Below are 27,531 nucleotides of genomic sequence, written 5' to 3'. Positions count from 1 at the left end.
TTCAGTTTCCCTGTGCTTCTCAGTTTCTGCAGTCATGTTTTTCACACCTTACTGTTCATTGAAAATAGAGTCCTTTACTGTTGCTGCCTGCTCCCCATTCACGATTATCCTTTTCCTTCACCTCTGTCTGGCCAAATGCTACATTTTCTTTTAGACATAACTTTCTCCTTCATTCCAACAATATAACTGTTGAGACTGTTCTAGTCCAGGAGGGTCTCCTTATCTTAGAAGTTTGCTTCTATCTGTTCATACAGGTATGCAGTCCTGTCATGTTCTGTATGGTAAATCTATGGGTGGCTTGTCTCTGTTTCACCTGGAAGACAGTAAACCACTTTTCAAACTTAGTGTCACATATAGTGCTTCCTATAGAATTAAAAAAAATGTGTCTCATGAGTCAATATGTTTTTGTATTTGTAGACCTGAAAGATGTCTGAAAATTCCAGTGACAGTGATTCATCTTGTGGTTGGACTGTCATCAGTCATGAGGTATGATATTTAATACTTTTTATAAGGTAATTTGTAATATTAATGTTACCAGTGATGTAAACTGTGTTCTTTGAAGATCAGTCTTTTTCTACCTTTAAGCAAAAAGTTCCAATGGACATTTTCCCTCTCATATTAAACTTCACTGCTGAAAACGCTTCATGAGCCAGCATCTTCTACATTATTGTACATAGCTTTGAGACATTAGGCAAATATTTATTGAAGGTTTGTTATTGTTCAGGCCCTGTGCTTTACTTTCATTTTCATATAATTTTGTCTTTTTTTTTTTTTTTTTTTTTGAGACAGAGTCTCACTCTGTTGCCCAGGCTGGAGTGCAGTGGCGTGATCTCAGCTCACTGCAACCTCCGCCCCACTGGACTGAAATGATTCTCCTGCCTCAGCCTCCTGAGTAGCTGGAATTACAGGTGCCTGCTACCATGCCCAGCTAATTTTTGTATTTTCAGTAGAGACGAGTTTCACCATCTTGGCCAGGCTGATCGTAAACTCCTGACCTCGTGATCCATCTGCCTCGGCTTCCCAACATGCTGGGCTTACAGATGTGAGCCACTGTGCCTGGCCAATTTTGTCTTTTTTTTTTTTTAAAGGGACAGGATCTTGCTCTGTTGCCCAGGCTAGAGTGCAGTGGCTGTTCACATGTGCAATCATAGTACCATGTAACCTTTAACTCCTTGGGCTCAAGTGATCCTCCCAAGTAGCTGGGACTATAGGCATATGCCACCATACCCTGTTCTTAAATAATTTTGAATATTTCACTGTGATACATACTGTTTTCATTCTTATTTTATAGTTGAGAAAACTAAAGCTTAGAGAGGTTAAGTAATTTGGTCAAGATTATGCAGCTAGAAAATAGATCCTGGATTTGAACAGATCAGAAAGGAGAATGGAGAACATGTGTTCCATTTACGTTATAGCAGAACTTCACAGGGAAAAGGCCAGAACCCTATCACAAAATGAATTTTATAATAGAAGATTGATATACATACAACAAGTATACATAACTTGTACATTTTGTTTATTTTTTCATACCAGTAATATATGTTCACTGTAGAAAAATGGCAGTATATTGATAAACAGAAATATACTTACTCCAGGTTTTACTCCAGGTTTTAATGGACATCTATAATTTTCCCATTTGTTTTTAGGGTATTGTAAGCCTCACTTGTTTTCTTTTTTTCTTTTTTGAGATGGAGTTTTGCTCTTGTTGTCCAGGCTGTCGCTCTTGTTGTCTTGTACAGTGACGCAATCTCGGCTCACAGCAACCTTCGCCTCCTGGGTTCAAGCCATTCTCCTGCCTCAGCCTCTGGAGTAGCTGGGATTACAGGCATGTGCCACCACGCCCGACTAATTTTGTATTTTTAGTAGAGACGGGGTTTCTCCATGTTGGTCAGGCTGGTCTCGAACTCCCGACGCCAGGTGATCCGCCCGCCTCGGCCTCCCAAAGTACTGGGATTACAGGCGTGAGCCACCGTGCCCGGCCACTTGTTTTTTTAATAAAAATTATAGGCCGGGCGTGGTGCTCACGCCTGTAATTCCAGCACTTTGGGAGGCCGAGGTCGGGGCAGATCACTGAGGTCGGGAGTTCGACACCAGCCTGACCAACATGGAAGAAACCCGGTCTCTACTAAAAATACAAAATTAGCCAGGCGTGGTCGCACATGCCTGTAATCCCAGCTATTTGGGAGGTTGAGGCAGGACAATCGCTTGAACCTGGGAGGCGGAGGTTGCGGTGAGCAGAGTTCGTGCCATTGCACTCCAGCCTGGGCAACAAGAGTGAAACTGTCTCAAAAAAAGAAAAAAAAAATTAAAAAATTTTTGTTTTTTAAACTATTAGTTAAGGTTCAGGTAGTTATGTTTAGAAAACATTAACAGAAAAAAACAAGATTGCCTTTTCTGCATTAAAATTTCAAAATTTAAAAGCATCTATCATTTGAGATTGAGATGATTCTTCTTTTTAAAATCTTCAGTGACTTTTCTATTTTTAGCTTGTTTTCTTCAAAGGATTAGATCAACTCCCATAGCAACTTCTCCTTCAAGGATAATTAACAATATAGGAGCAAGGCAGCTATGGGAGTCTTACCTGTTAGTCTGCAGGGTGGAGTATGACAGCAGACCTCTGTCTGGCACTCAGTCAAGTGTGTCATTAGGGTGTTCTGTACTGGATGTTATGTCCCAGATTGAATCATATTTGTACTTTTATCTCTCTTCTTCTATATCTGCTTTCCAGGTTCTACTCTTTCTTGCTAATTTCTCTTACATGTGTCTCCTTTTCCTCTCCCATTACTGCCATTCTCATTTGGGCCAGAATTGGTTTCCCCAGCAATTCCTAATACATAACCTTGCTTTAGCCTCTACCATTCTCCTGCCACTATAGACAACCTCGGAGTCTTGCATTCCGAATTCTCATTAGGGCTCAACTTAAACGCTACTTTTTTCTTTACTTTTTTTTTTTTGAGATGGAGTCTTGCTCTGTCGCCCAGGCTGGAGTGCAGTGGCAGGATCTCTGCTCACTGCAAGCTCCGCCCCATCGGTTCACGCCATTCTCCTGCCTCAGCCTCTGGAGTAGCTGGGACTACAGGCGCCCGCCACCACGCTCGGCTATTTTTTTTTTGTATTTTTAGTAGAGATGGGGTTTCACCGTGTTAGCCAGGATGGTCTCGATCTCCTGACCTCGTGATCCGCCCGCCTCAGGCTCCCAAGGTGCTGGGATTACAGGCGTGAGCCACTGCCCCGGCCCTACTTTTTTCATGAATTCTTTTAATTTTTGCTGTCTTGAGTTATGTATACGCAAGAGAATGCAGACCTTTCGATTCCATGTGTCAGCAGACTATAGTGGGGACATAGGGAAAGACGGAATCACCTTAGTGGTTAACTTTGTTTTACAATTAAGACACAAAGAAAAATTGTATGATCCGCTATTATTAATGAAAAGACAGTCTGACATCAAAGTAGGAAAGATAACCTCAGAATAAAAAGATAGTCTAAAATTGTGTGAGGAGAGTATTCATTAACCCTATAGGTTTATTTAATCCATGTCATTAAAGCTTTAGCCATTTTTAGTTTATAGTGCCATAATAAGTAGTTATTTGCATATGGGTGTTTCTCTGAATATGTTGTAAAATTGAATTTTGGATTTCATTTTTTTTTTTTTTTTTTGAGACGGAATTTTGCTTTTTTTGTGATCCACCGGCCTCAGCCTCCCAAAGTGCTGGGATTACAGGCGTGAGCCACCGTGCCCAGCCAGATTTGAATTTTTTATATCCCACAGCATCTAGCGAAGTGCCTTGTCTAGAGTAGTTCCATAAATGTTAAGTAGAAACAAATTATTATAGAAATAACCAAATTTAGACCCTTATTCTCTGGAATTCAAATTTATTGCTTGAGCTCATAAAATAGAGCATTCCACTTTTGGGCTGACCTGACTTAGAATTTAAACCTGAGACTCCATTGTGCCATTTTCCTGCCATAGGCCTTTGTGGACTAAATTGAACAAAAGCTTGTCTAATTAGATACTGTTCCTTTGGAGTATGGCAGCATCTGAGACTTTTAATAATGGAAGAAGCATTTACATGTAGTCAAATCTAGCTTTGAGGAGCTAATAGGCAAATAACTGAAAGATTATCACTTTTCCTTAGGGGTCAGATATAGAAATGTTGAATTCTGTGACCCCCACTGACAGCTGTGAGCCCGCCCCAGAATGTTCATCTTTAGAGCAAGAGGAGCTTCAAGCATTGCAGATAGAGCAAGGAGGTAAGTTGTTCACAAATTCTAATTTTTTTTTTAATATGATATATGAGTGATATTATGAGTCTTGCCTTCTTTCCAGGTGGGTGGCCTTTCTGGCTAATCTAAGGGGTCGTTGGAGGATTAGAACTTCAGTGTAGGTTGGGCACAGTAGCTCACACCTGTAATCCCAGCATTCTGGGAGGCTGAGGTGGGCGGATCATTTGAGGTCAGGAGTTCAAGAGCAGTCTGGCCAACATGGTGAAACCCTGTCTCTACTAAAAATACAAAAAATTAGCCGGGTGTATTGGCAGGTGCCTGTAATCCCAGCTACTCAGAAGGCTGAGGCAGGAGAATCGCTTGAACCTGGGAGGCGGAGTTTGCAGTGAGCCGAGATTGTGCCATTGCACTCCAGCCTGGGCAACAGAGTGAGACTCCATTTAAAACAAACAAACAAAGAAAAACTTCAGTGTGGATTTGGTGAAGGCCCACAGAACCCAGAGTCATCAGCCTGCCCCAGGGGTTTATTTGCAGCTGTAGTATATTTTTGGGTTTTCAGATACACTTTGTTGCTACAGAGGTAACCAGTGACAAAAAAAGTGTTTCATGGTTTAATCTGAATTTGTTTGGTAGTTTCTATTTCCTTGTCATTTGTTTGGTAGTTTGTATTTACTTGTCATTATTAAAGTTAAGAAAAAAATTATTCATTGATCACAAGAGATTTACTAACCTGTTTTCCAGTTATTATCATGTTGATGGAGTTACAGACATGCCTCTCATTTTATTCTGCTTTGCTTTATTGTACTTCGCAGATACTACATTTTTTACAAATTGAAAGTTTGTGGCAACCCTGTGTTGAGCAAGTCTATTAATGCCATTTTTCCGATAGCATATGCCCACTTCATGTCTCTGTGTCTCATTTTTATAATTATAATATTTCATTTATTTTTATTTTATTTTATTGAATTGAATTGGCGGAGTTTCGCTCTTGTTTCCCATGCTGGAGTGCAATGGTATGATCTTGGCTCACTGCAGCCTCTGCCTCTTGGGTTCAAGTTATCCTCCTGCCTCAGCCTCTCAGCTGGGATTACAGGCATGCGCCACCGTGCCCAGCTAATTTTGTGTTTTTAATAGAGACGGAGTATCATCATGTTGGTTAGCCTGGTCTCGAACTCCTGACCTCAGGTGATCCACCTGTGTCAACCTCCCAAAGTGCTGGGATTACAGGCGTGAGCCACTGCGCCTGGCCTGTAATTGTCATATTTCAAACTTTTTCATTATTATTACATCAGTTATGGTGATCTGTGATCAGAGATCTTTGATTTTACTATTGTAATTCCTTTGGGACACCATGAACCGTGCCTATGAAAGACAGTGAACTTAATAAATGTGTGTGTTCTGACTGCTCTACTGACTTGCCATTCCCCCATCTCTCTCCCTCTCCTTTGGCCTCCCTGTTCCTGGAGACAACAACAATATTGAAATCAGGCCAATTAATAACCCTACAGTGGCCTCCAGGTGTTCAGGTGAAAGGAAGAGTTGTGTGTCTCTCACTTCAAATCAAAAGCTAAAAATGATTAAGCTTATTTGAGGAAGGCATGTCAAAAGCTAAGTCTCTTGGGCCAGATAGTTAGCCAAGTTGTGAATGCAAAGGAAAAGTTCTTGAAGGAAATTAAAAGTCCTTCTTAGTGAACACATGAATGATAAGGAAGCCATATAGCCTTATTGCTGACATGGAGAAAATTTTAGTGGTCTTGGTAGAAGATTGAACCAGCCACAAAATTCCCTTAAGCCATAGCCTAATCCAGAACAAGTCCTTCCTAACTTGCTTCAAGTCTATGAAGGCTAAGAGTGGTTAAGAAGCTGTAGAAAGAAAGGCGGAAGCTAGCTGAGGTTGGTTCATGAGGTTTAAGGAAAGAAGCTATGTCCGTAACATAAAAGTGCAAGGTGAAGTAGCAAGTGCTGATGTAGAAGGCGCACCAAGTTATCCAGGAGATCTAACTGAGATAATGGATGAAGGTGGCTACCCCAACCAGCAGATTTTCAGTATAGATGACACAACTTTCTATTGGAAGAAGATGCCATCTAGGACTTTCCTAACTACAGAGAAGTCAATATCTGCTTCTAGGCTTCAAAGAACAAGCTCACTTTCTTGTTAGAGGCAAATGTAGCTGGTGACTTTAAGTTGAAGCCAGTGTTTACTTACCATGCCTTGAGAAATCCTAGGACCCTTAAAAAATATGCTACATCTACTCTGCCTGTGCTCTGTAAATGGAACAACAAAGCCTAGGTGACAGCCATGTGTTTACAACATGGTTTACTGAATATTTTAAGCTCAGTGTTGAGACCTGCTGCTCAGAACAAAAAGATTCCTTTCAAAATACTAGACATTGTATAGCAATACCTGGTCAATCACCGAAGGGCTCTGATGGAGATGTACAAGGAGATTCATGTTACTTTGTTTCCTGCTAACACAACATCCAGTCTGTAGTCCATGGATCAAAGAGTAGTTTTGACTTTCAGGTTGTATTATTTAATAAATACATTTTGTAAGGCTGTAGCTGCTATAGATAGTGATTGTTCTGATGGATCTGGGCAATGTGTGTGAATTGAAAATCTTCAGGAAAGGATTCACCATTCTAGATGCCTTTAAGAACAATTGTGATTTGTGGGAAAAGGTCAAAATATCAACATTAACAGGAGTTTGGAAGAAGTTGATTTCAACCTTCATGACTTTGAGTGGTTCAAGACTTTAATGGAGGAAGGAACTGCAGATGTGGTAGAAGTAGCAAGAGAATTAGAATTAGAAGTGGATCCTGGTCGGGTGTGGTGGCTCATGCCTATAATCCCAGCACTTTGGGAGGCTGAGGTGGGCGGATCATGAGGTCAGGAGATCGAGACCATCCTGGCTCACACGGTGAAATCCCATCTCTACTAAAAATACAAACAATTAGCTGGGCGTGGTGGCAGGCGCCTGTAGTCCCAGCTACTCGGGAGGCTGAGGCAGGAGAATGGCGTGAACCTGGGAGGCGGAGCTTGCAGTGAGCCAAGATCGCGCCACTGCACTCTAGCCTGGGCAACAGAGCGAGACTCTGTCTCAAAAAAAAAAAAAAAAGAAGTGGATCCTGAAAATGTGATCCAATTGTTGTAATCTCATGATAAACTTGAACAGATAAGGAGTTGCTTCTTATGGATGAGCAAAGAAAGTAGTTTCTTGAGATGCAATCTACTCTTGGTGAAGATGCTGTGAATATTATTGAAATGACAACAGAGGATTTAGAATATTACACAAACTTAGTTAATAAAGCAGTGGCAGGGTTTGAGAAGATTGACTCCAATTTTGAAAGTTGTTCTACTGTGGGCAAAGTGCTATCAAACAGCATTGCATGCTACAGAGAAATCTTTCATGAAAGGAGAGTCAATCCATGTGGGAAACTTCAGTGTTGTCATACTTCAAGAAATTGCCCCAGCTACTCCACCCTTCAGCAGCTACCACAGTGGTCAGTCAGCAGCCATCATCTTTGAAGTAAGACTCTCCACCAGCAAAAATATTACAATTCACTGAAGGCTCAGATGATCACTAGCACTTTTTAGCAATAATGTATTTTTAAATTAAGATATGTACAGTTTTTTAGACATGATGTTATTGCACACTTAATAGATTACAGCATAGTGTAAACCTAACTTTTACATGGACAGGGAAACCAAAAAATTCATGTGACTTGCTTTATTACATTGGTTTGGAACTGAACTTGCAGATATCTGAGATATGCCTGTACTCTGGTTCCAATCTGGTAAAATGGAATCTGTATTATGTATACTTCACATGGGATTTGATGCACACATTATTTATATAGAGAAATAGGACTCCTGAACAATTACTGCATACACTTATGTTCATATTTAAATTACTTCATTAACTTTTTAAAAAAATTACAGTAAAATGCATACAGAACATTTCCCCTCAGGAGAAAAAAGTGGATGTGTCAAGGCCAGAAATAGAAGAGATTATAGCTGTTAATTTTTTTAAGCCTACACGTTGATTATTACTACTCTCATTTGAAAAGTGATTCTCATCTTTTTTGTGTCAGAGATCCTTTTGAGAATCTGAAAGCTATGGACAGTTTCTTCCAAGAAATGCATTTACTTGCATATGTTAAAGAAAATTTTCTTTTTTTTCTTTTTCTTTATGAGACAGAGTCTCGCACTGTTGCCCAGGCTGGAGTGCAGTGGCGCAATGATCTCAGCTCACTGTAACCTCCGCCTCCCCGGTTCAAGTCTCAGCCTCCTGTGTAGCTTGGATTACAGGTGCCTGCCACTATGCCCAGCTATTTTTTTTTTATTTTTTATTTTTAGTAGAGACGGGGGTTTCACCATGTTGGCCACTCTGGTCTCGAACTCCTGACCTCCTGATCAGTCTGCCTCGGCCTCCCAAAGTGCTGTGATTACAAGCATGAGCCACTGTGCCCGGCCTAATTTTTTTGTTTTTTGAGATGGTGTCTTGCTCTGTTGCCCAGGCTGGAGTGCAGTGGCGGGATCTCGGCTCGCTGCAAGCTCCGCCTCCCGGGTTCACGCCATTCTCCTGCCTCAGCCTCCCAAGTAGCTGGGACTACAGGTGCCCACCACCACGCTCGGCTAATTTTTTGTATTTTTAGTAGAGACGGGGTTTCACTGTGTTAGCCAGGATGGTCTTGATCTCCTGACCTCGTGGTCTGTCCGCCTTGGCCTCCCAAAGTGCTGAGATTACAGGCGTGAGCCGCCGCGCCCGGCCATTTTAATAGCGACGGGATTTCACTATGTTGGTCAGGCTGGTCTTGAACTCCTGACCTCGTGGTCTGCCTGCCTCAGCCGCTCAAAGTGCTGGGATTACAGGCATGAGTCACCGCGCCTGGCCCCAGCACCCCGGCCGAGTACTGTGGCGGAATCTCACCTCTAAATTAATTAATTTTCTGTTAGAGGGTATATAATGCTGAAAAATATTTTTTTTTCCCTGTTCTTTGCAGGACTTAAATTACATAAGAAATGCATGATCGACCGGGCGCGGTAGCTCATGCCTATAATCCCAGCACTTTGGGTGGCCGAGGCGGGCGGCTTACGGGGTCAGGAGATCAAGACCATCCTGGCTAACACGGTGAAACCCCGTCTGTACTAAAAATACAAAAAATTAGCCGGGCGTGGTGGTGGGCGCCTGTAGTCCCAGCTACTTGGGAGCCTGAGGCAGGAGGATGGCGTGAACCCGGGAGGCGGAGCTTGCAGTGAGCCGAGACGGCGCCACTGCACTCCAGCCTGGGCGACAGAGGGGGACTCCGTCTCAAAACAAAACAAAACAAAAAAAAAACAAAAAGAAATGCATGTTCATGATAGGGAAAAAAAAATAGTAAGCAAAAGAAATTTAAAATGGTCTATAATTCTTTTATCTAGAAATAATTACTGTTGATATTTGGTGTACTTTGCTCATAAATTTATATGTTATATTATTTTTAACTTTTCTTAATATTTTATGCTCTTTTCTTTTTTTTTTTTTTTAAGACAGAGTTTCACTCTTGTTGCCCAAGCTGTAGTGCAATGGCATGATCTCGGCTCACTGCAACCTTCGCCTCCTGGGTTCAAGCAATTCTCCTGCCTCAGCCTCTGGAGTAGCTGGGATTACAGGCGCGCACCACCACACCTGGCTAATTTTTTGTATTTTTAGTAGAAACGGGGTTTCACCGTGTTAGCCAGGCTGGTCTCAAACTCCTGACCTCAGGTGATTCACCTGCATTGGCCTCCCAAACTGCTGGGATTACAGGTTTGAGCCACTGTGCCCGGCCTTTATGCTCTTTTTCATTAAAAATATATTGTGAAGTCATCATTCTGTTTGTACACATTTTCTTTGAGGAGGTTCTTATAAAATATATCTTCTGTAGTGACATTTAGTTTTTCTGTGTTTTGAGTTCTTTCTTTTTTAAAAAAAATTATTGGTAGAACTGGTCTCGCTATGTTGCCTAGGCTGGTTTTGAACTCCTGGCTTTAAGTGATTCTCACACATTGGCCTACCAAAGTCCTGGGATTACAAGCATGAGCCACTGTGCCTGGACTGCCCTCTCTCTGACTTTTTTTTGAGACATAGTCACACTCTCTTGTCCAGGCTGGAGTGCAGTGGCATGATCATGGCTCACTGCAGCCTCAACTCCTAGGCTCAAGTAATCCTCCTGCCTCAGCTTTCTGAGTAGCTAGTACTATAGGCACATACCACCATGCCCAAATAATTTTTTAATTTTTATTTTTGTAGAGACAGGGTCTTGCTGTGTTGCCCAGGCTGGTCTTGAACTTGTAGCGTCAAGCAGTCCTCCAGCCTTGGCCTCCCAAAAGTGCTAGGGTGACAGGTATGAGTCACTGCACCCCGCCTGAGTCCTTGTTTTTTATAGTTTATGTTTTCTTATAAGGCATTTAGACACACACACACACACACACACACACACACACGTACATATACATACATACTTTCATAAATCATAGTTTGAAGCCACGGTTTTTATTCTTACGGTACCAGGCATTGACAGCCATTAGAATGGTCTTTAGAAACTTCGAATAAACTTTTAAGAATTCAGGAAATGTATCACTAGGTATCTAATGATAGATTTTTTCATATTAGGTATTAATGAACATACTGGATCAAGTAATTTGGTAATGTAAGGTAGAGGTTTTATTTACTTAGTCAAGGTAGCTTTGAGTTCTTAATAAATCTTGTGGCTGGGCACGATGGCTCATACCTGTAATCCCAGCACTTTGGGAGGCCAAGGTGGGCGGATCGCTTGAAGTCAGGAGTTCGAGACCAGCCTGGGCAACATGGTAAAACCCTATCTCTAGTAGAAATACAAAAATTAGCCGTGGCGTATGTCTGTAATCCCAGTTGCTTAGGAGGCTGAGGCAGGAGAATCACTTGAACCCAGGAGGCAGAGGTTGCAGCGAGCCAAGATAGTGCCACTGCACTCCAGCCTGGGCAACAGAGCAAGACTCCATCTCCAAAAAAAAAAAAAATCTTAAATGATTGCATTTTCTTATCCAAAATTATCACCTGACAGTTTCAAATAAATGAAGTTCATTAGCAACAGTGGAGTGACTTCTATAATTGTATGTGACATTTCATTAAATCTATCCTAACATATTAGGAAGAGATTTTTATCTACCCAGATTATATGTTGGCTGCAGAAAGTCAACAGAGAGTTTTAAATTAAGAAATAATTATATTGATCTTTGCTTTATATCAGAAAGCAGCCAAAATGGCACAGTGCTTATGGAAGAAACTGCTTATCCAGCTTTGGAGGAAACCAGCTCAACAATTGAGGTAAACTTGTATTTTACACTGTGGATATATGTTAAATAGTATCCTTAGAATACTATTTAAAGCCTCTAATTCTATTTATGCATTCTATTCCTATTTTGAATTATAAGCAATTTTGACTTCTAAGTTAGATGTCTTAGAGGACATCTAAGCAAAGTATTTTATTGGTATTGTGTTAAAGATCTATCTTTTCACCTCTAATATAATTCTTTTTGGAAGTAGATTGCATTCTTGAATTATATTGAAAAATTAAACTGTTAGGTTTCATGTCTAAAATGGTGGTTCATTTTAAAATTTGGTAACAACCTGAGACTTATGCTTTGGGGTTTTACTTGACTTCTGTATAAAACTAGATAGCTAGATGATCATTTTACATGGTGTTTTAGTCTGTACTGATCTGACAAAATACCTGATACTGGGTGATTTATAACAAACAGAAATTTATTTCTCACAATTATAGAGGCTGGGAAGTTTAAGATCAAAGTGTGGACAAGTTCAGTGTTTGCTGATGACATGCTGTCTTGTTTCCAAATGGCATTTTGTTGCTACATCTTTAAGAGGAGATGGGCAAAAAAAGGCTGGATGCTGCATGAAGCCTGTTTTATAAAGACCTTAATCATATTCCTAGGGGAGGATCCCTTATAACTCAGTCACCTCCTAAAGGTCCCACTTCTTAGTACTATCACATTGGCGATTACATTCCAGCGTAGAAATTTGTGGGGACACCTTCAGATACATTCAGTACAAGATACAGCTGTTGAAGTTTATTACGTACATAACCTAAAAAGTTCAGTGAGTCTTTTTTGGGCTTCCACACTACAGAGTTGTGCTCGAATAGAACCATGGAACTCGTGAGAGAAGTGAGCTCTTTTTTCTGTGGTTATTGAGGGGGCAAAGATGGGCTTCTCAGCTTCTGCAGCCCACTAGGAGAATGCAGTGGTCTGATCTAATTCTGAGAGTTGTCAAGGGATCTGATGGTGTTCTCAAGCTATATGATGAGCCTGCTATTGCATAATTCTTTACTAATAGTAGGAATCATATCTTTTATTTTAACTCAGATGACTATAATACTTACTACTGTTGTATTCTAAGAAAATGTAAGACCCTTAAATGATTGTTGAACTTACCATCTCTAAAATTATGATTCTTCAGGCAGAGGAACAAAAGATACCCGAAGACAGTATCTATATTGGAACTGCCAGTGATGATTCTGATATTGTTACCCTTGAGCCACCTAAGTTAGAAGAAATTGGAAATCAAGAAGTTGTCATTGTTGAAGAAGCACAGAGTTCAGAAGACTTTAACATGGGCTCTTCCTCTAGCAGCCAGTATACTTTCTGTCAGCCAGAAACTGGTAAGAATACACTGATAAGAGACTTAAAGACATGTACGACCACATTTTATATAAAGGCTTGTTTTCTACCCCTAATAATTTAGTCTCTAGTTTTGAATATGTTTGGGTAAAACTCAAGACAAGACTATTTTTGTGTGTGAAATCTATTAATACCTAGTGTTTCGCTAGACTGTTCTGGAGCATAGCAATCTTTTACTGTAACAGTAACCATCTTTTGCCATTAAATAGAAGACAAAATTGCTTCAGTGAGATTTGTTAAAATCACAAATGCTCCAAAATTCTTTTGGTGCTTTTTAGATCTTTAAGAGTGGGAGATTGGGGATGTTAATATTTTTGCTTGCAGTAGTGTACATTTTGTAATATAGAAATAGTGAAAAAAATTGTTATTAAAGTCTCTTCAGATATATTCAATTATTAATCATGCAACAAACATTTATTGAGTACCTACCATATGTGAAACAGAGTTCAAGGTGCTATCAATACAGCTAGTCTTCCAAAGCTCGTGACCTTCAGATCTTTTGTTTTAGATTCTGTTATGAAAATGTCACTAGTGTAAGCCACATTTTTAATGCAATCAATGCCCGTTGTACAGACAGACTCATTCAGAGATTAAAGTGTGAGTTGCTTGATTTCTTTCTGCTATGCTTCAGCTCAGTTTTAGCAGTATGTATAACATCTTTTAATGTGATGTAAGTATGTAGGTATAAAGTTCCTGGATATATCAGTTATTAAGCCACAATTATAACTAAGCGTGAGTTATGGCAGAGACAACTTGAAACACTGCTAGTGATTCTAAAAATTTCCTAATTTGACGAAGAAACAGGAAACAGGTAGTATCTATTTTAGATAATTTTTTTAGATTTTACCATTCTTTAATATTTACATTTGCCAACCAGAATCAGACAATAGAATTTCTGTCATTCCAGTTTAAGCTAATAAAATGTCAAGTAGAGGTTCTTGGCTGGGCATAGTGGCTCATGCCAGTAATTCCAGCACTTTGTAAAGCTGAGGCAGGTGGATTACCTGAACCCAGGATTTCGAGACCAGCCTGGGCAACATAGCGAGACCTCATCTCTACAAATAATAAAAAGCCAGGCATGATGGCGTGCGCATGTGGTCCCAGCCACTTGGGAGGCTGAGGTGGGAGGATTGCTTGAGCCTGGGAGGTTGAGGCTGTAGTGAGCTGAGATTGCGCCACTGCACCCAGATTGCCAACCTGGGTGACAGAGCAGGATCCTGTCTCAAAAAAAAAAAAAAAAAGTAGAGATTCTTGGCTATCTCATTTAATGAGAAGTTATTTTCAGTTAGTATATCAGTGGTTTGCCTATAAACATGAACGTGAAAACACTTTTTCCAGCTATTTGAATATTCATGTGACATTCTTGATGTTCAGAGGAAAACTTCAGGCTTTGTTAGAATAGCATTCATAGTATCTTTATTTATGGAGGGGTATTGTAATTGATTTTAGAATCCTTGTTAGTCATCAAATTTTATTATTATTTTTTTAAACTCCAGGATTTGTGTTGTATTCAGGTAGTTTCCCCACCCCCGCTTCCTTTCCTGCCTCTGGTTTAATTAGAGAATATTCATGGCCCAGAAAAGTCAAATTGAAGCCAGAGTATTATAGAATGGTCAGATATATAAGAAACTGACATAGACGTAAAAGGAACTACATACTGTTGCTGGGCGTGGTGGCTCACGCCTGTAATCCCAGCACCATCTCAAAAAAAGAAAGAAATTACATATTAACTTTTTTCAGGAAGTTGTATAGTTCTAAGACCATTCTTCTAATATTTATCTTCTTTCTGAATTCTGACTTCTTGAGATTTTTGTGGACTAAGAGGAATATTTGATTAACTGTATTTTTACCCATTGTTATTCCTCCTAAAGATATTGTTTCAATAAACCAAATGTTTAAAGACGAAATTTTGGACTATACTGAAAACACTGCATATAAACCAGTTGCCAAAAGTTTTTGTTTTGGGGCCGGGCACTTTGGCTCATGCCTGTAATCCCTGCACTTTGGGAGACTGAGGCAGGCAGATTACCTGAGGTAAGGAGTTTGAGACCAGCCTGACCAACACGGCAAAAACCCTTCTCTACTGAAAATACAAAATTTAGCCAGGTGCCTGTAATCCCAGCTACTTGGGATTAGCTGCCTGTGGTAGCGCAGGCCTGTAATCCCAGCTACTCTGGAGGCTGAGGCAGGAGAATCTCTTGAACCCAGGAGGCGGAGGTTGCAGTGAGCCAAGATTGCGCCACTGCACTCCAGCCTGGGCAATAGAGGGAGACCCCGTCTCAAAAAAATAAAAAAGATGGTTTTTGTTTTTCCCTTTTAGTTTGTTAATTTTGTGCTAGCCATTGCTTAATTTTGTTTTTTCCTTTCCCTTTCTTCATCCTTAAGGATTTCAACTTCAATTTTTTCTTCTCCTGACTTATATTCTTGTGGCAGTGTACGTTTTGTTGGGTTAAGAACACTGCCTGCTTCCTCTTTATGAACTCTCTTCCCTGACAAAAAGCAAAGTTGGTAGTGTAGAGAAGTTTGTATTGTGTGTTTTTAAGAAGGCATGGTTATTACGTTTTAATTTTGTACGGATAACAATGTTAAGTGATAATTAAGTATTTTTAATTCTTTTTTTTCTTTTTAGTCTTTATAATATAGCTTTATGCCTCTTTTTTTCCTGTTTATTCACAAAAGAAAGGTGGTGGGAGAAGCTGTGGAAGATTCCTGAGTGCATATGGGGATGGGATGATCAGCTGAAACACCATGTTCCTAGCCAACTCGCTTTCCAAGGTGGTGTGACTAAATCTGACCAGCTTCTCTAGAGCTGAGTGTGCCTAGTCACATTTACTATTTACCGAGTGCTTTAAAGATACCTGTTGTCATCCGCAATACTCTAAACAGGTGTTCAGAATCTCTTGTAAAGGAGCTGGCCAAGCTTATTGCATGCCTTTGCATTGCTTGCATCTATGGGCCAAATTAAGCTTTTTTAAAAGAAGTTAAAAATCAAAATATTTCAGCTATTATATGTATGGGTTAAAAAAGTTGGAAGCATTAGATAAGGACATGAATATATTAATGTGGGTTAGGCTGTTTTGTTAGAATATATAATGAAGGTAATGTTAATGTAGAATTGAACAATTATTTAAATAAGTTTTACAAATGGTTTGTTTTTACATTTACCTATCTTAATTTTATGTCAGAAAGCCTGACTTAAATACTCTAACCATGATCATGAATGCCTTTGTATTATGTAATGCTTTGTTTAAGTCTTCCTTTCTTTCTCTTTGTCCAAGAAATATAATCTCACACCTGAGGCGACGGCATCTTTGAAAAACTAGTGATCAAGAATAACCAGATAAACATGATGGGCATAAGGGTCATGACCAAAAAGATCTCTCAGTGGCATCTGTATCACTAAATATTAGGAATATTCATTCATTTCAGTAGTGCCTTCTGTCTTTGTGTTTATTGTTGTAAGTGTGAAAGTGAACTGAATACTCCATGATCCATCTCTGAAAAATATTGCCTAACCTAAATCACCAGCTTTCCTGTGGCATGGATATCCTGTCTTCTGAAGAACTGTTTTTGCTTTTCTGGAGCATGAATGTTTGTTGTTTTAGAGCTCTTTGTATTCGAGTTCATATTTTATCCTTATTTTTAGTGCTTTTCCTCTAAGTAGCTTGTGGAAATTATTTCTGAGTAATTGAAGCTTCTGTGTCAACATAATAGTTTGTTGACATAAGAAACAGTGTTAAGAAATTATGCATTTGGAAAAAACTGAAGGTGATTTTTTCCAGGGAATTTGTTTCCTGGACTTGGGATTTCTTGTGCAAATTTTCCCCACTAGTTTGTTTTTCTCTACTATTATTTTCATAAAGGAGCAGCACCAGAATAGTCCTTAATATCGGAGATAGCTGTTGTGTCACTTCCTCATGCTGACATATTTACTAGAGGGTAAAATTAATAACCTTCTAGTAAGAGTGGCAGTCGAAGGGAAGGGCTCATCTGACTTCTGGAAACCTATGTTAAAATACAGTGCTTTGAACCTTGATCATGGGCTAATTAGGTTGGAAATGAAACTAGAGACCAGATACACCCAAGGAAACTTTTGGTAGTTATTTTACTTTATAAGTCACAGGAAATGCTTGTGTACTTTCCTGTGTTCCTTAAATAGTTGCACTTAAATTACCTCTTTGAAACTGAATGAAGAGACAGAGAGTATTTTTTTTCTTTCCAGAAATAATACTTGTTTATACCTGTAATAGCAATGAAATTTTGTTTCTTTTGAGACAGAGTTTTGCTCTGTCTCCCAGTCTGGAGTATAGTGGCAGGATCTCAGCTCACTGCAACCTCCACCTCCCAGGTTCAAGTGATTCTCCTGCCTCAGCCTCCCAAGTAGCTGGGACTATAGGTGCACTACCATGCCCGGCTAATTTTTGTATTTTTAGTAGAGAAGGGGTTTCGCCATGTTGGCCAGGCTGATCTCGAACTCCTGACCTCAGGTGATCTGCCCGCCTCGGCCTCCCAAAGTGCTGGGATTACAGGCGTGAGCCACTGCTCCTGGCCAGCAATGAAACTTGAGGCTATGCGAATGAAGGATTGTTCTAAGAGTGTAAACTATAAGGCGAGGAGGATTAAATAAAAAAACAGAGATAGGCTCTCAAAGCACCAAATAGTATGATTAACAGATTCTTGTGTATCACATTTGAAATGCTTTATGTTTTGGCTTTATGTTGATGAGTTGAAAACCCGTGTTTTTGTTTATGTTGTTTGGTTTTTGTTTTTGGCTATCTTATGTAGAAAGGCATGTAAGGGATGGCATTGATTATTCTAAATAATTTTTACTGGGAAAGCTTTTCCAAGATTTTGAATAGCTAAATGTCAACTTTTTTCTTAATAGTATTTTCATCTCAGCCTAGTGACGATGAATCAAGTAGTGATGAAACCAGTAATCAGCCCAGTCCTGCCTTTAGACGACGCCGTGCTAGGAAGAAGACCGTTTCTGCTTCAGAATCTGAAGACCGGCTAGTTGCTGAACAAGAAACTGAACCTTCTAAGGAGTTGAGTAAACGTCAGTTCAGTAGTGGTCTCAATAAGTGTGTTATACTTGCTTTGGTGATTGCAATCAGCATGGGATTTGGCCATTTCTATGGTAAGTACTCAAAAATGTGTTATACATAACCTGATGGGATAGTGTAGAGGAACTTAAGAGTGAGGACTCTTGGGATCTGTTTTCAGTGCCATTATTAAATGTGTGGCCTTGAAAACTTGAAGCCTGTTTGAGCCTCAGTTTTCTCATTCGGGAAGTGGGTGCTGCCTATCTCACAAAGCTTTTTATTTAAATAAGGTAGTAGTTATTAAGAAATGTAAGGATAATAACCATATATGTTTGTGACTCTTTTAAAGTTAAAAGATTGGAAGATTAAAAATCTGAAATGCTCACCATGAGGCAAATCATTTACATTTAGAATCACACTTAAACTAAGTTGAAGTGTGACTTTATTAGGAAGATTATTTAAATCCCAGTTGAAATAGTTACATTTGAAATGTGTAAATAATAAGTGTTCATTATTTCTACTTTGAGGTTTCATGTAAGTATCATACTTTGTAACTTTCATTGTTGCTTCTGTGATTCACATGAATTGAGAGTTTGTCATCTTTGTTCTTATACTTTGCTCTTTATTATGATTGATACTGTTTATATATGTTGATTATCTTATCAATTCAAAGCTTTTAAATGCCTTTTGGGTGAGAAGAGGAAGGTATTCTATTGGTGTTACTTTACTTTTTCATTTAGGAGCCTCACCCATTGACTCTCTCCTTTGTTTTTTGGAGACGGAGTCCCACTCTGTCGCCCAGGCTGGAGTGCAGTGGCACAATCTCAGCTCAATGCAAACTCCACTCCCAGGGTTCTAGCAATTCTCCTACCTCAGCCTCCGGAGTAACTGGGATAACAGGCGCCCGCCACCATGCCTGGCTAATTTTTTTATATTTGTAGTAGAGACGGGGTTTTGCCATGTTGGCCAGGCTGGTCTCGAAGTCTTTTTTTTTTTTTTTTTCTTTTTTTTTGAGACGGAGTCTCACTCTGTCGCCCAGGCTGGAGTCCAGTGGTGCGACCTTGGCTCAATGCAGCCTCTGCCTCTGGGTTCAAGTGATTCTCCTGCCTCAGCCTCCTGAGTAGCTGGGACTACAGGCGCCTGCCACCACGCCCAGCTAATTTTTTTGTATTTTTAGTAGAGACGGGGTTTCACCATCTTGGCCAGGCTGGTCTCAATCTCCTGACCTTGTGATCCACCCGCCTCGGCCTCCCAAAGTGTTGGGATTACAGGCGTGAGCCACCGCACCCAGCCAGTCTTGAACTCTTGACCTAAGGTGATCCACCCCACTCAGCCTCCCAGAGTGCTGGGATTATAGGCATGAGCCACCGTGCCTGGCCTGAGTCTCTTATTTAAGGTATGTGTTTGTACAATGACTGGAGTATTTGAAACCTGAACTTTGACTCTCTTTGCTATATTGGAATTTGGGGTAGAGACACTTTAAAAGGAAATGTCTTAGATCTTGTCAACTTCCCAAATTTTAGCTTGCTTTACATTAACTACTTTTAGATTTTTTTGCCTGCATAATCCACAGTCTTAACTTTTCGTTTTGCTAGTTCATTCGAAAAATGTATTTCTTATGCAAAGATTGAAGAATTACATGTACCCTATGTGGATTTGTGGAAAAGGTATATTATTCAACATAGCGTAATGTTAGAATAAACTTAATGAAGACAATACCTGTTTAAAGTCAGAGCTTGCAAGATGTTTCTTGTATTTATATTAATAAAAATATGTATTTAGATTTCTGATGGATACCTGCTTGAATTTAATACTGAGATACTATTATTTGTATCCTTTCTTGAAATTTGTTGTAATAAGATTTGATTTGAAATATATATTTACCTTTATAGACTATCTAGCTGAAACAATCAATAAGTATTTGAGTATGATTTTCCCTCCACAAGTAAACATGAGGGTAACAATGGAGAAGATCTTATCTTAATCTTTTTTTCTTACTTCAAAAAAAATTGGATAGTGATTTAAAGTGTTAATCCAAATTGCATTAAAACTTCACCATTTACATGACCTTTGAATATTTTGTAGAAAAATAATTTTACAGAAGTGCTTTCAAAATGAGAAGTTACTTCTCTGTTATGTAGGATTTTGGTTATTAGTAAAATTTACCTTAATAGTTAATTAATAAAACATTGTCCTTTACTTGATATTAGCCTTTTCAGGCTATGAAAAGCCTGGATAACATATTATGAAGTAGGCCTACATAGTAATGAGATTAGTTGAATTAACATACAAGACCTGACCTAAATGACTTTTCCAAGTCACTACTTAAAAGACATCACTTTTTTTTTTTTTTGAGACAGAGTTTTGCTCTTGTTGCCCAGGCTGGAGTGCAGTGCGTGATCTCGGCTCACCGCAACCTTCGCCTCCCGGGTTCAAGCAATTCTCCTGCCTCAGCCTCCCGAGTATCTAGGATTACAGGCATGCACCACCATGTCCAGCTAATTTTGTATTTTTAGTAGAGATGGGGTTTCTCCATGTTGGTCAGGCTGGTCTCGAACTCCTGACCTCAGGTGATCTGTCCACCTCGGCCTCCCAAAGTGCTGGGATTACAGGCGTGAGCCACCGCACCTGGCAAGACATCACATTTTTTAATTTCAGCACTGATCTCAACATTCTTTGGAGTTGATTTCAGAGCCGTTTTGAATTTTCTATTCACCGTAAAGTCGGTCATTGCATCCCATAGTCATTCATTCACTTTATAATTTTATTTTTTTTTGAGACAGAGTCTTGCTCTGTTCCCCAGGCTGGAGTGCAGTGGTATGATCTTGGCTCACTGCCACCTCCGTCTCCCAGGTTCAAGCGATCCTTCTGTCTCACCCTCCTGAGTAGCTAGGATTACAGGCATCCGCCAGCACGCCTGGCTACTTTTTGTATTTTTAGAAGAGATGAGGTTTCGCCCTGTTGGCCAGGTTGGTCTCGAACTCCTGACCTTAAGTGATCCGCCTGCCTCGGCCTCCCAAAGTGCTGGGATTATAGGCGTGAGCCACCGTGCCTGGCCCGCTTTATAATAATTTAACAATACCATATTACTAATTGAATCATTCTGCGTTTGCCAGCCCTGGTGCCATACAGATTTGAATTGGCAGATCTATACTGCAGGGAAGAGAAAGCTAGCATGACTAAGGATAGTGAGGCAGTGTACTCCAGGTATTTGGTTCTGAAAATGCTTCCAGAAGTTTTATTAAAAAGTTTCATGAGAAAGCAGTCTTTCTTATTCTTACATTTGCTTGTGACTATCAACATTCCAAATCATCAATGGAGTTCAATTGATTTGGTTTTCTCCTCGAGTTGCTTTAAGTATTGATAGACTACCCGGCTCTTCGGCAGACTATTATATAACAAGATATCTAGATGCTAAGTTATAGAGCACAGAATGAATTACAGCTCAAAGGGTACACTTACTGAATTATCCTGGAGGTGGTAAGATTTAAGTTGTGTCTAATCATAGTAAGTTTATGATAGACTCAAGGGAAGGTGGAACATTCCAGCGACAGAGAATCTGATAACCTGAGGAAGACGTAATCTTGGGTTTGGGAGCAGTGAAAAGACTGCTTGGACTACAGCAGAGTGTAGGTATTTAGAAATAATGGAATAGGTGGGGTGCTATTATAGTCATCCCTTGATATACATGAGGGATGGGTTCCAGGATGCACCCCCATACCAAAATCCATACGTACTAAAGTCCCTTGACTGCGGACCTCACATATATGAAAAGTCACCTCTCCATATACCTGGATTTTGCATCCTGCCATGTAGTTCAAACTCATGTTGCTCAAGGGTCAACTGTGTATTGTAAAACGTCTTGGAATCTAGATAGGAAAGTTTGATTTATTGAGTAACCTGCTATCAGGTTAGAGAAAAAAGTGCCGGAACTTTTTGCTGGTGTGGAAAAGGTGGTATGGAAAAATGTAGAATAGTCAGTCAGTTAAGAGTTCTGTAATCTGGATATTTGGTGAGGAGGACCTTGACAATTGGAATAACAGTGGGAATGGAATAAGGGACATTGAAGGAATAATGGAAAATAATGGCAATTTATTAAATTGTAGAAAATGTGCTAGCTGCTTCACTTTTGGAGTTGGGGTTACTGGGGAAGTTTTGCCAGATGATAAATAGATGGTAAGCACAGTTTGGTTTGGTTTTACCCAAATTTGTTCTAGACAAATTTGGTTTGGGGCAGGTGTTGAGGTTTGATTTTTTTTTTTTTTCCACCCTACAAACAGGCCCCCTACACAGCTGGATGTGTTGGCTAGAAGCTCTGATGAGAAGTTAGGACAAGATCTGTAGCTTGGAATTCTTAATAGGAGTGATAGCAAAATCTGACAGCGCTGCAACATGGTAAAATAGGCAGCATTTGTAGACATGACTAGGCCAAAGATTGTATCTTGAGGATAAGACTTTAGGTAGCTGAAGGTGCAGGAAAAACCCCCAAGTGATTAGTCAGTAATATTGTAAAAGGCCACATTAAGACAGTAATCAAGCATATGCTATATTATACTATCTTGAATTCAGACCTCAACACAGTTTTAGATTATTTTCCAGTGGGCAAAGGAATTAATCTCAGCAGTTTGAAATAGAAATTGCAGAAGTTTTCTGTTACTCTGGGAACTATAGATAAATTTCAACATTTGAAAAAAATCTGGGATTCTGCTGAGTAATTTTGAAACAAGCTTGCCGTGCTTCTATAAATTGAGAAATCTAAAGAGAGGAAATGAATTCTAACACAGAATATCATAGCTAGACTATGTAACAGTTACCTGTAAATTGGCAAAAGTTGTTTTTGGTGTTTTTCAAGATGTATTGAAGACATTTAAAATAATTTTTATAGCAGTAAGGGAAGAAATAGTGATCACTGCATCCTTTCTTTGTAAAATTCTATAGTATCTATACTCAGTAGATGTAATGTTAAGGTTGCTAACTGCATTTTGCCTTATTTTTGATTTCGTGGTTTTTTCCCCCCATACATGACGCATGTGAATAGCATGTCTGAGTAAAGTAACATTTTGATTTTTAGGATGAAAATATGAAGAATCCTAGTTGGTTTAAGATTCTTTTTTTGAGACGGAGTTTCGCTCTTGTTGCCCAGGCTGGAGTGCAGTGGCGCGATCTTGGCTCACCACAACCTCCACCTCCCGGGTTTAAGCGATTCTCCTGCCGCAGCCTCCCGAGTAGCTGGGATTACAGGCACATGCCACCACTCCCTGGCTAATATTGTATTTTTAGTAGAGACAGGGTTTCTCCATGTTGGTCAGGCTGGTCTCGAACTCCTGACCTCAGGTGATCCATCTGCTTTGGCCTCCCAAAGTGCTGGGATTACAGGCGTGAGCTACTGTGCCTGTCCAATTCTTTTATCACTGTTGGGATAAGGACAGTGCTACTCCAGTACAGATTTAACCATTGCAGAATTCTTAACAAATTTGGCCTTGAGAATGGTGCACAATCACCATTAGCCAATTATTTTCTGTGCTGTACTTTTTGGGCTTTGTTGTATCCTTAAGGCAAAATATTAAAAAAAAAAAAAATTTTCATTTTTCCTTATTGACTTACGACCTGTGAAAAAATACCAGGGTTTGTTCATTTCTCTGTATAAGGGAGGCTGAAACACTTTTTGTACTTAAAAGATAACCCCAAAACAACAAAGCTGAGTGCCTTCAATATAGTAAGATAAGAACATTACATAAATTGTTCTCTTGGTTAGAGCCATATGGGCTGGCCTGTGTGTTTTAATACAAAAGATAGTGAACTGCTTAAATGTTCCTGGGTGTATGTAAATAAATGTTTTTAAGAACTAGCCTACTTGGCCTTACTTATATTACGTTAACGTTCACCACCATTTGATGAATGATTGATCATGGGCTTTCATTTACTTTTCTTTTTTTATTTTATTTTATTTTTATTTTTAGTAGAGACAGGGTTTCACCATGTTGGCCAGGCTGGTCTTGAACTCCTGACCTCAAATGATCTACCTGCCTTGGCCTCCCAATGTGCTGGGATTACAGGCGTGAGCCACTGTGCCCAGCCTCAGTTACTTATTCTCTATTTATGTAATCAGAATTTTTAAAGAACGGTGAAATGCTGATACTCTGAATGAAATGATTGTCAAGATTACATAGGTTATGGCCAGGCACAGTGGCTCACACATGTAATCCCAGCACTCTGAGAAGCCAAGGTGGGTGGATCACTTGAGGCCGGGAGTTTGAGACCAGCCTGGCCAACATGGCAAAACCCTGTCTCTATAAAAAATTAGTTGGGCCTGGTGGCGCTTCCCTGTAGTCCCAGACACTCGGGAAGCTGAGTCACGAGAATTGCTTGAACCAGGGAGGCAGAGGTTGCAGTGAGCTGAGATCATACCAGCCTGGGCAATGGAGCAAGACTCTTCTCAAAAAACAAAAAAAAAACAAAAAAAAAAAACAAAAAAAAGACTACATAGCTTATATGCAGATTACCAATATTAAAAAATACATAAAACATTTAATGATAATATTTTTGTTACATACCTTTAATAAAAATATTTATTTTAGGCACAATTCAGATTCAGAAGCGTCAACAGTTAGTCAGAAAGATACATGAAGATGAATTGAATGATATGAAGGATTATCTTTCCCAGTGTCAACAGGAACAAGAATCTTTTATAGATTATAAGGTATGTACCACTAACAGTATTTAAAATAATTGTTAGTAATTATTTTGCTTATTAGTTAGAGCTTATTGTGCTTATTAGTGCAGATTAGTAAATCAGTAATAATGCTGATCATTGTTGAATTGAGTACGGGTATTTAGTGTGTCCTAGTCATTGTCATGAGTGTACCATATAGAGTATTTCTCTTATTCTCACAATATGTGAATTAAGCAATTACTAACTTTTATAGGTGGAAAAGAGGTTTAGAAAAGTTAAGTGACTTTCTCAAGGTAGCAACTGGCAGAGCTAGTTTGTTTTTGTTTGTTTGTTTATTTATTTGAGATGGAGTCTCGCTCTGTTGCCCAGGCTGGAGTGCAGTGGTGCAACCTCAGGTTGCTGCAACTTCCACCTCCTGGGTTCAAGCGATTCTTGTGCCTCAGCCTCCCAAGTAGCTGGGATTACAGGTGTGCACCTCTATGCCCGGCAAATTTTTTTGTATTTTTAGTAGAGACGGGGTTTCACTATGTTGGCCACGCTGGTCTTGAACTCCTGACCTCCGTCTACCCACCTCAGTCTCCTAAAGTGCTGGGATTACAGGTGTCAGCCACCATGCTCGGCCATGGCCTTTTTTTGTTTTGTTTTGTTTTGTTTGGGAGAGCTAATTAATTGATTCTAAGGATTTGACTTAAGAACTCTTATCCCTAGCTGCTATTTTATAGTTAACATCTTTTATAAGTGACATTTTATATGTGTATATAGACATTTTTATTAACATTATTTTCACAGAGCGAAGCAAACATTTTCAGTTGGCAGGAGGGAAAGAGGAGAGTTTTGGTTTTATAGCCTCTCTAAGATCTTCTCTTGATCAGGGGACATAGCTATTCCTTTCCATTGTTTTTTTTTATTCTGATGGAAGGGAGAGCATGTTATCTTTTTCTGCCTATAACTCACCTAGATCTCGTCTCACAGGACTGTACTGTCCATTCTGTCATTACCTAACACCTCTGTGGGTTTATGAGGATCAGCAAAATAGCTGGTCTCTTATCTAGTTTTTTCCTAAGAAGGTTGTAGAGAGAAATGCAGGGTAGAAAAATAAGCTATGTCTGGGTGTGGTGGCAACCTCCCAAATTCCCAAAGTTGGTAACCTTGGGAAGCCAAGGTAGGTGGATTGCTTGAGCCCAGGAGTTCAAGACCAGCCTGGCCAATATGGTGAAACCTTGTCTCTACTAAAAATACAAAAATCAGCCTGGTGTGGTGGCACATACCTGTAATCCCAGCTTTTTGGGAGGCTTAGGCACAAGAATTGCTTCAATCTAGGAGGCAGAGGTTATAGTAAGCTGAGATCACACTATTGCACTCCGGCCTGGGCCACAGAGGAAGACTGTCTCAAAAAAAAAAAAAAAAAAAAAAAAGGAAAAGGAAAGAAAAGTAAGCTATTGTTTTTTCCTTCATTTTTCCACCCCCAATTCTCACACTTAATTTATGTATGCTTCCCTTACAGGTTATATTTCTTGAAAAGACAAAAATACTACTTTGTAACTAAATTGTATCTTTCAGGGAGGTACTTCTCCCATCCAAGTACTAACCAGGCCAGACCCTGCCTAGCTTCTGCCATCAGAGGAGACTGGCGGCATTTAGGGTGTTATGGCTGTAGACACAGGGAGGTACTTCTGAAGTTAATTATAAATAGTTCAGTTTTTCCTACCTGTATTAGAAGATGCCATTTTCTTCTTCACCACAGTGTTTTCTGGTTCCATAGGATAACATTGGCTTTTGGAAAACTCACCACGCATTAACCTCTAGAGAGAGTTTGTAGTTTGGTTTGGGTTTGGGTTTTTTTTTTGTTTTGTTTGTTTTTTTTCTGAGATGGAGCCTCGCTCTGTTGCCCAGGCTGGAGTGCAGTGGCATGATCTCAGCTCACTGGAACCTCTGCCTCCTGGGTTCAAGTGATTCTCCTGCCTCAGTCTCCCAAGTAGCTGGGATTACAGGCTCCCTCCACCATGCCCGGTTCATTTTTTGCATTTTCAGTAGAGATGGGGTTTCACTATGTTGGCCAGGGTGGTCTTGAACTCCTGACCTCAGGTAATCTGCCTGCCTCGGCCTCCCAAAGTGCTGGGATTACAGGCGTGAGTCACTGCGCCTGGCCTGTTTTTTTTGTTTTTGTTTTTTAAGAGACAGGGTTTCATTCTTATTGCCCAGGCTGGAGTGCAGTGGTGTGATCATGGCTCACTGCTGCCTTAACTTCTGGGCTCAAGCAATCCTCCTGGCTTAGCCTCTCAAGTAGCTGCGACCACAAGCACACGCCACCATGTCCAACTTGGTTTTTAAATTTTTCATAGAGATGGGGTCTCACTATGTTGCCCAGGCTATTCTGGAACTTCTGGGTTCAAGTGATCCTCCCACCTTGGCCTCAAAATACTGGGATTAAAGGATTGAGCCACTGTGCCCAGCTAGAGAGTCAGTTTTTACAGATCTCTTATTTCTGGCTGTTAAGTGTGGATCAGATAGATTTTGAAGCTCTTTGGAAGACCTGGTCAGGATCTGCTTATCAATCACTTATGTCAACATCATATTTACTGCACGAGGAATGCTGTACTCTTCTTTCATCCTGTGGCTTCCTGGGCTTGTGCATTTCAAGATTATGCCACACCAGTGCATCAGTCTCTTCTACTCCACAGTCCACTGCTGTTGGGTAGAAGAAATTTCTTTTCTCTCATACAGGTAGAGCAGATGAAATGACTGTGATTAAATTTTAAATCTTTATTTGTTCTCTGAAGATTAATGAGCCAGAACGTGAAGCAGTCATTTCAGATAGTTATTTTTCAAGTGTATATTAGTGTCATTCTCTTAAAGGACTTGTATTTTTTTTTCCTTTTTTTTTTTTCTTATTTC

At 39.8% G+C, this 27,531-nt stretch overlaps 1 protein-coding gene, 1 long non-coding RNA gene and 1 other non-coding gene across 6 annotated transcripts in view, besides 1 other annotated feature; all 3 read left to right on the top strand.

Annotated features, from left to right (window-relative positions):
- Nucleotides 1-27,531, top strand: part of DNAAF4-CCPG1 (DNAAF4-CCPG1 readthrough (NMD candidate)) — a 143,362-nt gene that overhangs the window by 108,734 nt on the left and 7,097 nt on the right. Inside the window, exons 9-14 of the long non-coding RNA NR_037923.1 lie at nucleotides 418-486; nucleotides 4,137-4,251; nucleotides 11,475-11,551; nucleotides 12,701-12,902; nucleotides 17,807-18,058; nucleotides 24,542-24,663. This is a non-coding gene — a long non-coding RNA (DNAAF4-CCPG1 readthrough (NMD candidate)). The remainder of the gene's footprint in view (nucleotides 1-417; nucleotides 487-4,136; nucleotides 4,252-11,474; nucleotides 11,552-12,700; nucleotides 12,903-17,806; nucleotides 18,059-24,541; nucleotides 24,664-27,531) is intronic.
- The window catches only part of CCPG1 (cell cycle progression 1), a 53,121-nt gene that overhangs the window by 18,509 nt on the left and 7,081 nt on the right, over nucleotides 1-27,531 (top strand). For all 4 annotated transcript variants that reach the window (NM_001204451.2, NM_001204450.2, NM_020739.5 and 1 more), the window contains exons 2-7: nucleotides 418-486; nucleotides 4,137-4,251; nucleotides 11,475-11,551; nucleotides 12,701-12,902; nucleotides 17,807-18,058; nucleotides 24,542-24,663. In NM_001204451.2, coding sequence (NP_001191380.1) covers nucleotides 427-486; nucleotides 4,137-4,251; nucleotides 11,475-11,551; nucleotides 12,701-12,902; nucleotides 17,807-18,058; nucleotides 24,542-24,663 — 828 coding nt within the window. In that variant the 5' untranslated portion in view covers nucleotides 418-426. The remainder of the gene's footprint in view (nucleotides 1-417; nucleotides 487-4,136; nucleotides 4,252-11,474; nucleotides 11,552-12,700; nucleotides 12,903-17,806; nucleotides 18,059-24,541; nucleotides 24,664-27,531) is intronic.
- Nucleotides 7,086-7,265: a silencer, noted in NCBI's record as "fragment chr15:55674784-55674963 (GRCh37/hg19 assembly coordinates)". NCBI's record gives its function as "represses an EF-1alpha promoter that drives an FKBP-Casp9 reporter gene in an ReSE screen in K562 erythroleukemia cells {active_cell/tissue: K562}" and the evidence as "EXISTENCE:reporter gene assay evidence [ECO:0000049][PMID:32094911]".
- Nucleotides 16,817-16,911, top strand: MIR628 (microRNA 628). Its single transcript, NR_030358.1, has one exon. It is a non-coding gene; the product is annotated as a microRNA 628 (primary transcript).

The sequence above is a fragment of the Homo sapiens genome, chromosome 15 (genome assembly GCF_000001405.40).
Source record: "Homo sapiens chromosome 15, GRCh38.p14 Primary Assembly".
Taxonomy (NCBI): Eukaryota; Metazoa; Chordata; class Mammalia; order Primates; family Hominidae; genus Homo; species Homo sapiens.
This window is presented reverse-complemented; position numbering and strand designations above follow the sequence as displayed.